The 13,910-nt window shown below is 40.6% G+C and overlaps 1 protein-coding gene across 3 annotated transcripts in view; it reads left to right on the top strand.

Moving 5' to 3' along the window:
* CA10 (carbonic anhydrase 10) overlaps window positions 1-13,910 on the top strand; it is a 529,711-nt gene that overhangs the window by 79,245 nt on the left and 436,556 nt on the right. For all 3 annotated transcript variants that reach the window (NM_001082533.1, NM_001082534.2, NM_020178.5), the window contains one exon: window positions 8,386-8,460. In NM_001082533.1, coding sequence (NP_001076002.1) covers window positions 8,386-8,460 — 75 coding nt within the window. The remainder of the gene's footprint in view (window positions 1-8,385; window positions 8,461-13,910) is intronic.

Below are 13,910 nucleotides of genomic sequence, written 5' to 3'. Positions count from 1 at the left end.
ATTGAGTAAGACCAGGTCAAGAAAAAGTAGACAAAGAAGGAATTTCGGGGGGAAAAAGGGCAGAGTGAAGGTGTGGAGAGAGTAATAAACGTGGTATACCTGGGGACAGCAGGAAGAATGACTCTTGTAAATTTTATGAGAAATGATATTAAATGTGTGGTAAACCCAAATTGCAGAAATTCTAGAATACTAGGCTGAGAATTAGCCATAATAGGGACTTTCCTCCTGATGATTTTCAAGTCTAGTTACCTTTGAGCTTCTCTCTATTTATTTTAATATTTATTTATTTATTTATTTATTTATTTATTTATTTATTTATTTATTTTTGAGATGGAGTCTCGCTCTGTCACCCAGGCTGGAGTGCAGTGGTGCAATCTCGGCTCACTGCAAGCTCCGCCTCCCTGGTTCATGCCATTCTCCTGCCTCAGCCTCCCGAGTAGCTGGGACTACAGGCGCCGGCCACCAAGCCCAGCTAATTTTTTGTATTTTTGGTAGAGACGGGGTTTTGCCGTGTTAACCAGGATGGTCTCTATCCCCTGACCTCGTGATGCGCCCACCTTGGCCTCCCAAAGTGCTGGGATTAGTGGCGTGAGCCACTGCGCCTGGCCTTGAACTTCTTAAAAATAGTATCATGCTAAGCATTTTAGATGAAAGTAATACGGGCTACCCGCCATCAATATTTTTTTCTTATCTCCCAACACAAATATAATTTTGTCAGCTTGCTTAGGTCTGGTCCAACACGCAAGGTGATTCTAGGTCATACCCATCTTCTCTCTTTGGAAATAGTCACTTTGTCACCCATTAACCAGTTCAATTCTCAATGTTCTGAGTGTCCTGTCTAGTTTGTATGGCAAGTGGGGTTTTCACATAGGATGGAGAGATAGAAATGAGTTTCATCCTGTCTTGCGAATTCAGGAAAAGCAAAGAAAGACAGAGATGTAAATAGTTCCAGGTATGACACATCTTCCCCTTTGCTTTTAAATGAAACACATTGTGCTAAATAAAAGTGGGTTTGCTAAGGCTTTGATTTCCCTAGGCAGGGTGTCAGCTCCTGGTACTCTTCCATCTGTCAAGCACGTGTGGGCTTGTCAACCAACTTGAAACCACTTTTGTCCACATTCCCACTGACCACAAATATAGGCGTCACACCCACAAGTCTTTGGATAGAGACTAAAACCTCCCAAGGATTGTGTGAGCTGGACTGCAAGTTGGTATAATATACAACTTCACTACCACGTTTATCAGGCATTCACCCAATATTTTTCTGGCACTTATTATGTACTAAGCTTTTGCATAAATAATGGAATTTTTTTTTTTTTTTTGACGGAGTCTCGCTCTGTCCCCCAGGCTGGGGTGCAGTGGTGTGATCTCTGCTCACTACAACCTCCGTCTCCCGGGTTGAAGCGATTCTCCTGCCTCAGCCTCCCAAGTAGCTGGGATTACAGGAATGTACTACCACACCCTGCTAATTTTTGTTTGTGTTTTTGTTTTTTGAGACGGAGTTTCGCTCTGTCGCCCAGGCTGGAGTGCAGTGGTGCAATCTCGGCTCACTGCAAGCTCCGCCTCCCCGGTTCACGCCATTCTCCTGTCTTGGCCTCCCGAGTAGCTGGGACTACAGGTGCCCGCCACAGCGCCCGGCTAATTTTTTATATTTTTAGTAGAGACGGGGTTTCCCCGTGTGAGCCAGGATGGTCTCGATCTCCTGACCTCGTGATCCGCGTGCCCCGGCCTCCCAGAGTGCTGGGATTACAGGAGTAAGCCACCACACCCGGCCAAATAATGGAATTTTAAAATAAGATATATTCTCTGACCTCAGGAAGGTTACGGTTAGGTGGAAATGAATGATATGGAAACAGATAGTGTGGGGCACTATCTAAATGTTAGAATGTAGGACCACACATAATACAGAGAGTGCACAGAAGAAAAATACCTTCCGGGTGTTGTAAAAGTCAAGCACCTGAGGAAGGGCATTATCCCCGTTAGTCTAGTGAGTGCCATGCAGCTCAATGGGGCAGTCATTTATGTTTCTTCTGACGATCCATGCACTTCTCAATGTTCCTGCTTCCCACTTAGAACACAAAATTGGCCATGCAAGGAAAGAAGTGATGTCATGGATATGCATCCAATGTTAGAAGTACTTTTTTACCTTCCAACTTATGTTGTTTCCTGGTCAGTAGACTTGGTACCTTCCTCCTTGAATTACCTCCTCCAGTGGAGAAATGCAATTTCTGAGGGAAACAACCATTCAGGGCTTCTACCATTACATTAAAATGAAGTAACCATAGCAGTGTATGTACTCTGCCTCTCCTCTATATCTGGCTTCATCTTTGCTAGTTGTAGACCACTTGGCACAGGTATAATTGTACTGACCCAGGGCTTGGAAGCTTATTTTTGCAATGTATGTGCTTATGGTTTGGTATGTTTTGACTGATGGTGGAGTTTTATTAAGCAACATCCCTTCCCCAACTGGATCCCTTTGTGAGGGCTCTTCTGTTCCCTATTGCACCATTTCCTTCCCTACCTCAACTGTGCTATCTCAGATGTTGCTTTTAAGTCTTGTTTCCCACCAGGTCAAGAGACCACTGTAATTTCCAAATGGAGGTATTTCGCAGTTATGTTTTCTCTGAACCTAAGTTAGTTAAATTAGTTGACTTGGAGCAGTAAGCTCTGTTAATGATAGGGATCTACTCACAGGCCAGATCACATCATCTTTGGGAAGTTTTAGTCTGGATCCAAAGACTTGTTGGTGTGATGCCTGTATTTGTGGTCAGTGGGTATATGAACATAATTTTTTAAGTTGGTTGGCAGGCCCATACTTGCTTGAGAGAGTTTATGGACTTGTGGGAAGAACAAAAGGGGATCAAGATATTGTTCAGGTCTTTATTGACTGGTTTGAAAAACCCAGCATGGGTTGTAGGCCTTGTTTATATAAAGCTCCACCAGCTTTGGTGGTTTAGCCCAATGGAAATCGGGTGGAGAGAGGGAAATATTCAATTTTATGTAGATGCTGGTGACCAATTTCAGATCTGGAAAAGATTTAGTATGATAGATACCTTCTGCAGTACATACTGATCAGATATCAGGCACATGTAATTAGAAACCCATATATTTCAACATTCTGATTTTTTTTTTTTTTTTGTAAAGTAGCTCACTTCTGAACATTTAAGTAAGAAACAGAACTGGATAACAAAAATCTTTTAGATCCAAGACAGAACTGAGCAAACTATGGCCTACAGATCAAATCCAGCTCTTTGTTTTCATAAATAAAATTGTACTGGCACACAGCTACACCCCTGCATATTGTATACAGCTGTTTTTGTGCTACAATGGCAAAGTGGAGCAGTTGGCACAGAAATAGTATGGGCTTCAAAGCCTAAAACATGTATTATGTCGCCCTTTATGGAAAAAATTTGCTGACCTCTGTTTTAAGACCCCAACCTCTTACAAGTGAGGTTCCCTTCTCTGTGCAAGAAGGGATCACCAAAAGCCTCTGTTCCATCCAGAAAGTTGCAAAACACTTTGCTCTTTCTTCATCCCCAACGATGACTTCTTCAGCTATCCCATTCATTCAGAAGTAGAATTATGTAAGATAATTCTGCTCACTTGTATAAGAAGCCATTGGAGCAATGAACATTGTCTCTCAAAATTCTGAGATTCAGAGTTTCCTTTGGAAAATCATCAGTTCTCAAACTGCCACAGTGAAAAATAAACCAAGAATAAAACTGAAATAGATTTTTCCTTGCTATGTATATCTTTTCCTCTGGCAGTGATGACAATTTTTATTGTCAACACAATTTTTTTAATTAGACACCTGGATTTTTCCCAGGGGCTGGTTGCACATTAAAAAATTCTGATCCATACCTAGGCAAAGAGGAGCATAGAATGCTGTAAAAGCTCAGGCGGCTCTCTGTTCACCTGTTTGCTCTGAGGAATTCTCAATCAGCTCTTCACTCACTTCAAATCACATGTAAACAACAACAAGATGACTACCAAGGATCTGGTGGGAGGCGTTAAAATAAGAATCCTGTATTTCTCTAGGAGATCCATCTATAATAAACTTCTTGTAGTACTGTGGCAGAACTTTAAGTGAGGTACCTTTTTAAATGTGCCATCCTGTCTTTCTAAATTACCAAACAGTATGAGGCCAGCCTGAGCATCCAAGGGAATTTGAAAACATTACATAAATCATCTTTATTTTCTTCTAGTCTGCAGCCATTAAATTTTGTAATTGATAGACATCAAATGGGCTCTTCCAGCTGATTGATTTTTGGAGGGTGAATTTGGTTCTTCACAATGCACATCAAAGACAGCTAACAGGAGCTCTGCAGTTCTACTATTACAATAGGCTTTATTCAGATGGTCTGATTGTCTTATTACCTGCTAAAATCTTACATAGTTCTGCTTCTGAATGGATGTGATAGCCAAAGAAGCAATGATTGGAGATGAAGAAAGAGCAAAGTGTTTTGCAACTTTCTGGATGGAACAGAAGCTTTTGGTGATAATCTTGTCAGTGCCAATACTCTTACTTACCCAGGGGCTTCTTTCTTCTTCCTTCTAGATAGATGTTTCTTAAATTGATATTTCAGTTCGACTGATAGGTTGTCCTTAGAGGGGAGTGTGGAAGATATGCACATGTAAGAAGAGAGATAAAAAGAGGGACTAGGAATGCATCTAAAAATCTGAGAACCTAGTCATCTTACTCAGGTTTTATTAGAGTTAGCTTTCCCTTTTTTGCCGTCTTGACAACATGCATGTATGCTTTCTCTTTTTTCCTTACTGCTTTATCCCTTGTAGAAATGAAAGTTTCTTAATGATATGGTCAAATGGCAGGAAAGAGTAGAAAAAATATTTGAACATATAATGGGGTAATGGGGTGGCAAATGTATTCCATATGACACTACAATTCAGATAGATGGGGAAAGATGTATCTTTTGTCTACTTAGACAAAGCGCTATCCTCTAGTGTTCAACATAATGTTTCATTTTATCCTCTTTTAGCACATGTAAGTACTATAAATAGCACCTTTAGGTCAGTGACTGTCAATAGGGATGTCACCGTTTCTGGGGGAATATTTTGGAAATGGGTGAGGGCACTTAAGATTGTTATAATGAAAGAGTGGCAATTAGCAACAACTAAAGGGGGACAGAGATGCTATGCTCTGCAACATATTAGATAGTTAGAAACAACGATAAATTATCCCATGTCCCAACAGACATTCAAGTGATTGGAAAAACTGTTTTATTTATTTGACCCTCCAATCAAACTCCATTTTGCATATACACACAAAGCATGTCTTACAAAGTTTTATTATACCTGGTTCTTTAGCAATGCAAAGATCATGTAAATCAAGAGAAGGTGGTACTTAATTGTGTTCTAATCTTTCCCAAGAGTTCACTATTTTGGAAAACCACATACCATTGAGAGAAATGCCACTTGTGGATTCTGGAATCTCTAATATAATATGAAGTTGTTATTTGTGTCTGTGTTAATTAAGCATCCAACTTCTTCATTTTATCTTCTTCTAGTGCACCATGCCCAGGTATTTACATATTGAAATATATAATATTTTGTTTTACATTATGTTCCTTGTATTTCCCCCTTGTATTATAGTTAAAGCACTATATTGATTATATTGATTGTTTTTCCTTTTGAAATTATGTATGTAAATTAGCACTCAACAAATTTTTTCAGTAAAGAGCCATGGAGGAAACATTTTAGGCTTTGTGGGCCAAATGGTCTCTGTCATAACTATTCCACTCTGCCATTGTAGTGAGAAAGCAACTCTAGAGACTATGTAAATAAATATGTTTGGCTATTTGGCAATAAAACATTATGGACACTGAAATTTGAATGTAATATAATTTTAACATGTCAAAACATTTTTTTCAACCCTTTTTTTTCAACCATTTAAAAATGTAAATTCATTTTTAGCTCTTGTGCAGTACAGAAACAGGCAATGGGCCATATTTGGCTAGCAGGCACAAGTTTTCCAATCTCTGTTCTAGTGTATCATACTCAAGCATTTTCACATTGAAATATATATTATTATAAATTACATTTCTTTTATTTATAGTTAAAGCACTACATTAAATTTTTAAAGTGATGTGTAAACACTGTAAAAATTTTTTTGTAAAATAATTAGGTAAAAAGCTTAATGTAACAAAATTTGAGTGCTAAGTGTATATTTATTTGGGGTAATGAAACACATGCAAGATAATGCAGCTTCCCCAATGACTGTCTCGTAGAATAAAGAGAGAAGGCTGGATTTATGGTTTAAATTGTTTGATGACAGTCAGTAATCCTGACTGGATAAAACTTGGTGTGAGTTTTTATAAAACTCTGAAGTTTTTGCCTGTTGTAAGGAAAACCAGTCCTGGCTTATCTCTGATGCAAAACTGTTAGGTGATGTTTATAGTTCAATGCTTTTAAGATCTTAGAAACATGCATTTTTCCCAGGCTTGAGACATTTTACATGTCTAGCAGAGCTAGGCTGAAGTTTAGAGAATTATCAGGTTTGGGGTTTGGTTTTCTTGTTGTTGTTTTTTAGTAGGTTGTACTGTCCGTGAATTTTATTTAATTATACTCAAGGTGAGCATTACAAAGTAGTTGTTTCATAAGAGGGCCATTAGATATCTGATCTCACAGGTTTCTAAGCCTTTGGGATTCTCCTCTGGCTCCTATGATGACTGTCTAACGAATTGGGGGAGAAGGAGGGTGAGTCAGGCAATACCAAGACCCAGAGGAAGAATCAGAACCCTTTCTGAACTCTAGAGAAATGTTGTCTACCCACTTGGGGAATTTTGCAGCCATATCCAAACCTTGATTTGGTTTCTTGGCTTGGTCGGGTCTAAAGACCTCCTGGCTGACTTCAAATCTCCTTGTCTTTCCCTGGTGCTGCAAATTCCCAGAGTCTCAGTTGAATCTTCCGCCTGACTCCCTGGTTGGACAGAACCTTTCTGGCTTCTGCTTTGAGGTGACTTCCTCCTTTGCCTGCTGTCCCAGAGCAGATGCATTGGCTTCCAACTCAGCTGACCTCGGGATCTTCCTCAAGGGCTATGGAAATGTCTGAACTCTATCCACACCACAGGGGCAATAAGAATACCAGGAAATCCAGGATACTTTTGTGTGTCCATGCCTGAGATTTGTGCTGGGCAAATTTAAAGGTGTTATTTTTTCCAGAGTCTTAAATAAGCTCTTTGTCTCTCTTTTATTTGTTTTTAAAGTCCCCTAAGCCCACTGTCAGTTCCAGAAGGAGTGGGCTTCAGTTTCACTCATCCTATGTCAGAAAATCTCCTTCAACCACAAAGATACAAGCCTCAGGGCTCTTAATATCATAGGAAGAAAAAGTATCTTCACTATACTATAAGAAGAGACTTGAAGCTAAACAGTCCAAGCTTATCTGGAAACTAGAGAAATCTAGTAAATCTTCTCTCTATACAAAGCCTTGCATTCAAACCCATTGTCTTATACCCATTCTTTCTAACTCAGAATGATGAGTCTTTTCCCTAGAACTTTGAAGAGGAAGGCTGGAAAAAAACCCCCACCAGATTTAAAGAAGAAAAGAAAAAAGTTAAGATTTAACATTAATAGTAGCCAAATTACAAATATGATTGATTCACTTATTTTCTTCCAATGTGTCTGGGAATTGAAATATGAATGTAGTTTAATAAAGGGATAAGCATAAATTTATGTATCATGTATACTTTGGGGTTTGTGTGCATGTGTAATGGCATTGCCCCAATTCACTTGTCAACTGTCATGAATTCAAGGGTTTCCCTGAGGTCATGTCAGCATGAGCTTACAGATCTCCACGATATTTTCCAATATCTTGAGCCCTCTGCCCTTTTTGCCTGTGATGTCAAAAACCTCCACCACAGTTATTTATATTCTTGTTTTCATTTTCCTGGGACCTAAGGAAAGCTGGCTGGGTATACCTTTCAGCCTTCCAGACTGGCTCCCTCAGCAAACTTCAATCTCTCCCAAAACAAGGGTTCCATGGACATACATGGATGGGATCTGCCTACTGTCTCCTCAGTTTCAGCAGGAGCACTGTGTGTGTGTTGTGTGTGTGTGTGTGTGTGTGTGTGTGTGTGTGTGTGTATGGGGAAGATGATGAGGACAGGTAGCAGGGGACTTAAATACATAATTACTATCTCTTTAACATCAATTAAAATATCAGAGAACTTTCAATAAAAATGTTTTTATATTTACCGATCAATGATCTATTTGAAAAAAAAAAGGGAAGGGAGAAGGAAGGTTCTGTTGTAGTATGACTTTGGGGTAGAAAAGGGTTATTTTATGGATATTCACCCTTCTTACTCGGACAGCCGGGACACAGTGCTTCTCTGCTATCATCTTAATCTCTCTTCTTTGCTTTTCCTTTAGCTCAACAGAATTCACCAAAAATCCATGAAGGCTGGTGGGCATACAAGGAGGTGGTCCAGGGAAGCTTTGTTCCAGGTAAGTACACATTAATTCTTTAATTTATTTATTAAAAACAATTAGAATGAAGGCTAGCATTATTTCCAGGATTTTACATTGCAAAAGGTGAGGCAGTCTAATTTATGTGTGCAATGAATACTCCATCAAGACAAAGTTTGTTAAGTAACAGGCAATTAGATTACTTTTTTTTCCATCTGAGCCTGCAGTCTCAATGTCCTTCAATCTATAGGATGCCCTCAGGGGCAGGGGGATGGATGATTAAGGGCCGAAGCTGTGTCTGCTGACATTTGGTTAAGTAAGGAAGAGCCATTTCTTAACATTAATGAAACAGGAACTATGAAAAGACTGACCATGGCAATGGAGCTGCTGGAACACATGCTGTCACTTTAGCAGCATCCATGGCCAGCACTTAGCACATCGCGCCAAGTATCAGCTAAAAATACCAGGTAAAGTGGATCTTGTCAGCATGCGGGCAGAGGACAGAGAACTGAATACAGATTAAAGCAAGGATTATATTATGACTTTCGTTCAGAAGCAAGGTGGAGGGTCCCTGTGTCTCCTCCCACTACTCTTACCCTCATTATGGTCCTCTTGCTTTTAATGGTCCTCTTGCTTTTGCTGCTTTAGTAAAGCGAGGCAAGAGAAAAAGCAAGCAAAAGGCAAGGATAGAAGGGAAGGCAGGTGACATATTTCAAAGTATTTTTAACTGCTCAGATGTGAGAATAAGAAATAAAGCTCTCAGCAGGAGCCAGTGTGCAATCTCTACTCCGGCACTGAAAGCAGAGGGCTGGAGATGTCAGTTGAGGTCTCTGTAGTTGGTGGCAAATAGAAAGAGCAGAGTCCCAGGTCACCTCATTCATTCTTGGCTTCTATGTCTTCTTTTCCTGTCCTTCTGTAGAGTCTATTACACCAGCTGTGCAGAGCTAAGCAAGTCACAAAACCCCTCTGAGCATCATTTTTTCTCATTTGTATGATGGGGCAATTATAAGTACTCGTGAGGCTTTGCAGTTGGAGGAAAGCAGGCATGGTAAGGGAGAGTGGGTGACCCAGGAAAAAGCCAACTGGCTGCCAAATAGCCTCAGAAATGAATATTATTAACTTCATAAATTTACTATGGCACATCTATTCTATGGCCCAGTGAACATAGAAACCGAACTTGATTAATTCATCTAGAAATGACCAGGTTTCTAATGATATAACAATTTCATTGGCACAAGCTATGTTCATGTGAAACAATATTGACAAATGGCATTCAATACTTACAATTGAGGATGTCCCTTTTAAAGAAATAGAATGTTTACATACTTTTTTCCTAGGAAATCTGTTATATTCAAGATATCTCAGAAGTTACATTTATAATTATATTCTTGTACCTTTTGAGTATGGAATTAGAGAAATAAAGGGTATTCTCTCCAGGTAATAAGAAGTCTTGCTAAGTTAGTACAACCTGTAAAGAGAACATCCTCTGTAGTGATTGACATGCCCATGGGTAGAACTGGGTGGTCACTGCAAAATGTTGTGTGTCTGCCTCACATTTTTCGATGTTTTTTTCTCTGTTGTCACATTCTTTCTTTAAAGTGTTCAAGGCCCTATTTTGAGTTGGTTGTTGCTTCTAAGACAACCACAGGAAATAATTTTTATTGTCCCCTTACATGTTGATATAAAATAACTTTTCCTCACTCTCAAATTTAATTGAGATAATATATGTAAACCTTACTACATGGGAAGCAGTAACGTGTGCAAGTGTGATCATGGCCTCTGAAGTCAGAGTTGATGGGACTTGAGTCTGGGTTCTGTGGTTTCTTGTTGGTAGGACTGTCAGCAAGTTACCTACCCAGCTCAGCTCCCTGGGTTCTTCATCTGTAAAATGGAGATAAGGACTAAATCAGCCTTGTGAGGTTTGCTGAGGATTAAATTGCATAATGGAGGTAATGTGTGTATGTTCATGTCTGGTGCATGTTGAGTCAGTATATGTCAATTGTTGTTGGTATCTGCTTGAGGGAGACAATTACAAACTGGATAGTGTAATAATGTGTGTAAGGGTTTCTCAAGATGCCTGAAACATGGGGGATGCTTGAATTTATAAGGTCAAGGGTTTCTACACAGTGGACAACTAAAAGATGACTTCCTCATCCTCTGAATTTAACAGGTCTAAAGCCTTTTGTCTTTCTGGTAGAGAAGATTGGTATCTGATGATTCCACTTTCTAAACTTTTGGGAACTCCAACTCTGTTGAAAAGGATAAGAGTCATGAGAATTTGTGGATTAAGCAACTGAACCTGGGGCTCTAACATCTGACTCCAGATGACCTACTTTATCTGAGTGGGTACTTGTGGCAAACAATGGACCCCTTACCTCTTATTACTTGACTATAAAGTTAAGAGTGTTCTTCAATTTGTTACTGAGATTTTTTTCAGGTTATGGATGTGTGAAATAGGAGAGAACTTGATATGACTGAACTAGTTTTATCGTCCCATAAGTTCCTCACTGAAGTGTCTAGAAATAATAGTCAGTTGGCATAACAGTTGTGAATCTGTGACTTCAACAAAGCTGTGGTGGATAAAAATATATGAGCTCTATAACAATGGTGAGTACAAGGTTAATTCAGCACGCAAATGCCCCACTTTGGTCAGTTCAATAGCATTTATGGAGTACCTACCTTGTGCTGAGCACCAAGTTTGGGCGGTTAATAAACAGGTAACTCACACATGATTCTTACTCAAAGGTGAGCCTACAGTCTAAAGAGGAAGATAAGCCATAAATCCATGACTCAGGGTAACAAGGGCTCCAACAGGGTTTATACATGTAAAGGAGGCAACACAGTATTGGGATTCTGCCTGCCTAAGTGTTTAACAGATGTTGTTTACCTGCTCAAACCTATGCCTTCCTCTGACCTTACCCACAACTAGAGTCTGTCTTGCAGGCAGAGCCCTGACTATGCTTGCACATTCGCCCTCCATACCATCATATACTCAGGGAAGGAGCCCCTTACCAGCCCCAGAGGGTTACTCTTGGCTGAGATTTATACCAACAATGGTGATTCTGGTCTCTTTCTTCTCAGTAATTGGTTTAGACATTGTGATGGCTAATTTGATGTGTCCATTTGGCTAGGTACGTACCCAGATATTAGACCAAACATGCCTGGATGTTGTTGGGCAGGTACTTTTTAAGACCAGATTAACATTTGCATCAGTAAACTTTGAGTAAAGCAGATTATCTGTATAATATGTGTGGGCCTTATCCAATGAGTTGAAGGCCTTAAGAGAAAAAGACCAATGTCCCCAAAGAAAAAGGGAGTTCTGCCTCCAGAAGCCTTAGGCCAGGAGCAGCAATATCAACATTTCCCTAGGCCTCCTGCCTATCGGCTTACGCTGTAGACATCATCCTTGCCAGCCATCATGTGAGCCAATTTCTTAAATAAATCTCTCACTGTCACCCCATTCTGTTGATTCTCTTTCTCAGGAGAACCCAGAGTAATACATTAATATAGTCATGCATATGTGATAAACAGTTCTATTCATGCCATGTAAGGAGAAGCCTTCTGAATAAACTTGGGTACAAAAGACACACTAAGATGGCAAAATGGAGAGTTGAGAAAAACCCATATCTTCTATGGCTCACTTAAGGGTTGAATTCACCATGGAACTGCCTCACCACTTATTGTGTTAAGTGACGTAACAAACTTCTTACTGCTTGAGCCACTTTGAGTCAGACTTTCTGTCACTTGCAGCCTAAAGCAGTCTTCCAGGGCCAGGCATCTCACTACAAGGCTAAAGGAAGAAAGGAAGTTAGAACTGGGTCTTGACAAGGTTCAGGAGTACTCAAAGTGGAGAAGGGTGGTAATGTGAGGAATACTTGACAGCACAGGCAAAGAGGGATTGTATTAGTCCATTTTCATACTGCTTTAAAGAACTGCCTGAGACCGGGTAACTTATAAAGGAAAGAGGTTTAATTGACTCACAGTTAAGTATGGCCGGGAGGCCTCAGGAAACTTACAATTATGGCAGAAGGCAAAGGGAAAGCAAGATACCTTCTTTACAAGGCTGCAGGAAGGAAAAGTGCTGAGTGAAGGGGGAAGAGCCCCTTACAAAACCATCAGACCTTGTAAGAACTTACTATCATGAGAACAGCATGGGAGAAACCACCCCAAGATCCAATTACTTCACCTGGTCTCTCCTTTGAAATGTGGATATTATGGGGATTATAATTCAAAATGAGATTTAGGTGGGGACACAAAGCCTAAACCTACCGTACCACTTTGGGTCCCTCCCAATCCTCATGTCTCTGACATTTCAAAACCAATCCTGCCTACCCAACTGTCCTGCAAAGTCTTAACTCATTTCAGCATTAACTCAAAAGTCCACAGTCCAAAGTCTCATCTAAGACAAGGCCAGCCCCTTCTGCCTATGAGCCTGTAAAATCAAAAGCAACTTAGTTACTTCCTGGATACAATGCAGGTACAGGCATTGGGTAAATAGAGCCATTCCAAATGGGAGAAACTGGCCAAAACAAATGGGCTACAAGCCCCATGCAAGTCCAAAATCCAGCAAGGCAGTGAAATCTTAAAGGTCCATAATGATCTCCTTTGACTCTGTGTATCACATCCAGGTCATGCTGATGCAAGAGGTGGGTAGCTCTGCCCCTGTGGCTTTGCAAGGTACAGTCCACCTCCCAGCTGCTTTCACAGGCTGGCATTGAGTGTCCACAGCTTTGCCAGGTGCATGTTGCAAGCTATTGGTGGATCTACCATTCTGGGGTCAGGAGGATCTTGGTCCTTTTCTCACAGCTCCACTAGGCAGTGCCCCAGTGGGGACTCTGTAGGAGTTCGCACCCCGCATTTCCCTTCCACACTGCCCTAGCAGAGTTTCTCCATGAGGGCTCCCCACTGCAGCAAACTTCTGCCTGGACATTCAGGTGTTTCCCTACGTCATCCAAAATCTGGGCAGAGGTTCCTAAACTTCAGTTCTTGGCTTCTGTGCACCCACAGGCCCAACACCACATGTAAGCCACCAAGGCCTGGGGCTTGCACCCTTTGAAGCAACAGCATGAGCTATATGTTGGCCCTTTTTGGCCACAGCTGGAATGCAGGGCACCAAGCCCAGAGACTGCACAAAGCAGCTAGGCCTTGGGCCCAGCCCAGGAAACTACTTTCTCTTCCAGGCCTCTGGGCATGTGATGGGAGGGCTGCTGTAAAGACCTTTGACATGCCCTGGAGACATTTTCCCCATTGTCTTGGCTATTAAAATTTGGCTCCTTATGCAAATCTCTGCAGCCAGCTTGAATTTCTCCTCAGAAAATGGGTTTTTCTTTTCTATCACATCATCAGGCTGCAAACTTTCCAAACTTTTATGCTCTGCTTCCCTTTTAAACATAAGTTCCAATATCAAACCATCTCTTTATGAATGTATAAAATTGAATACTTTTAAGAGCACCCAAGTCACATCTTGAATGGTTTTCTGCTTAGAAATT

Source organism: Homo sapiens, chromosome 17, assembly GCF_000001405.40.
Source record: "Homo sapiens chromosome 17, GRCh38.p14 Primary Assembly".
NCBI classification, from domain to species: domain Eukaryota; kingdom Metazoa; phylum Chordata; class Mammalia; order Primates; family Hominidae; genus Homo; species Homo sapiens.
The sequence above is the reverse complement of the archived record's forward strand: the minus strand, read 5'-3'. Positions and strand labels throughout refer to the sequence as shown.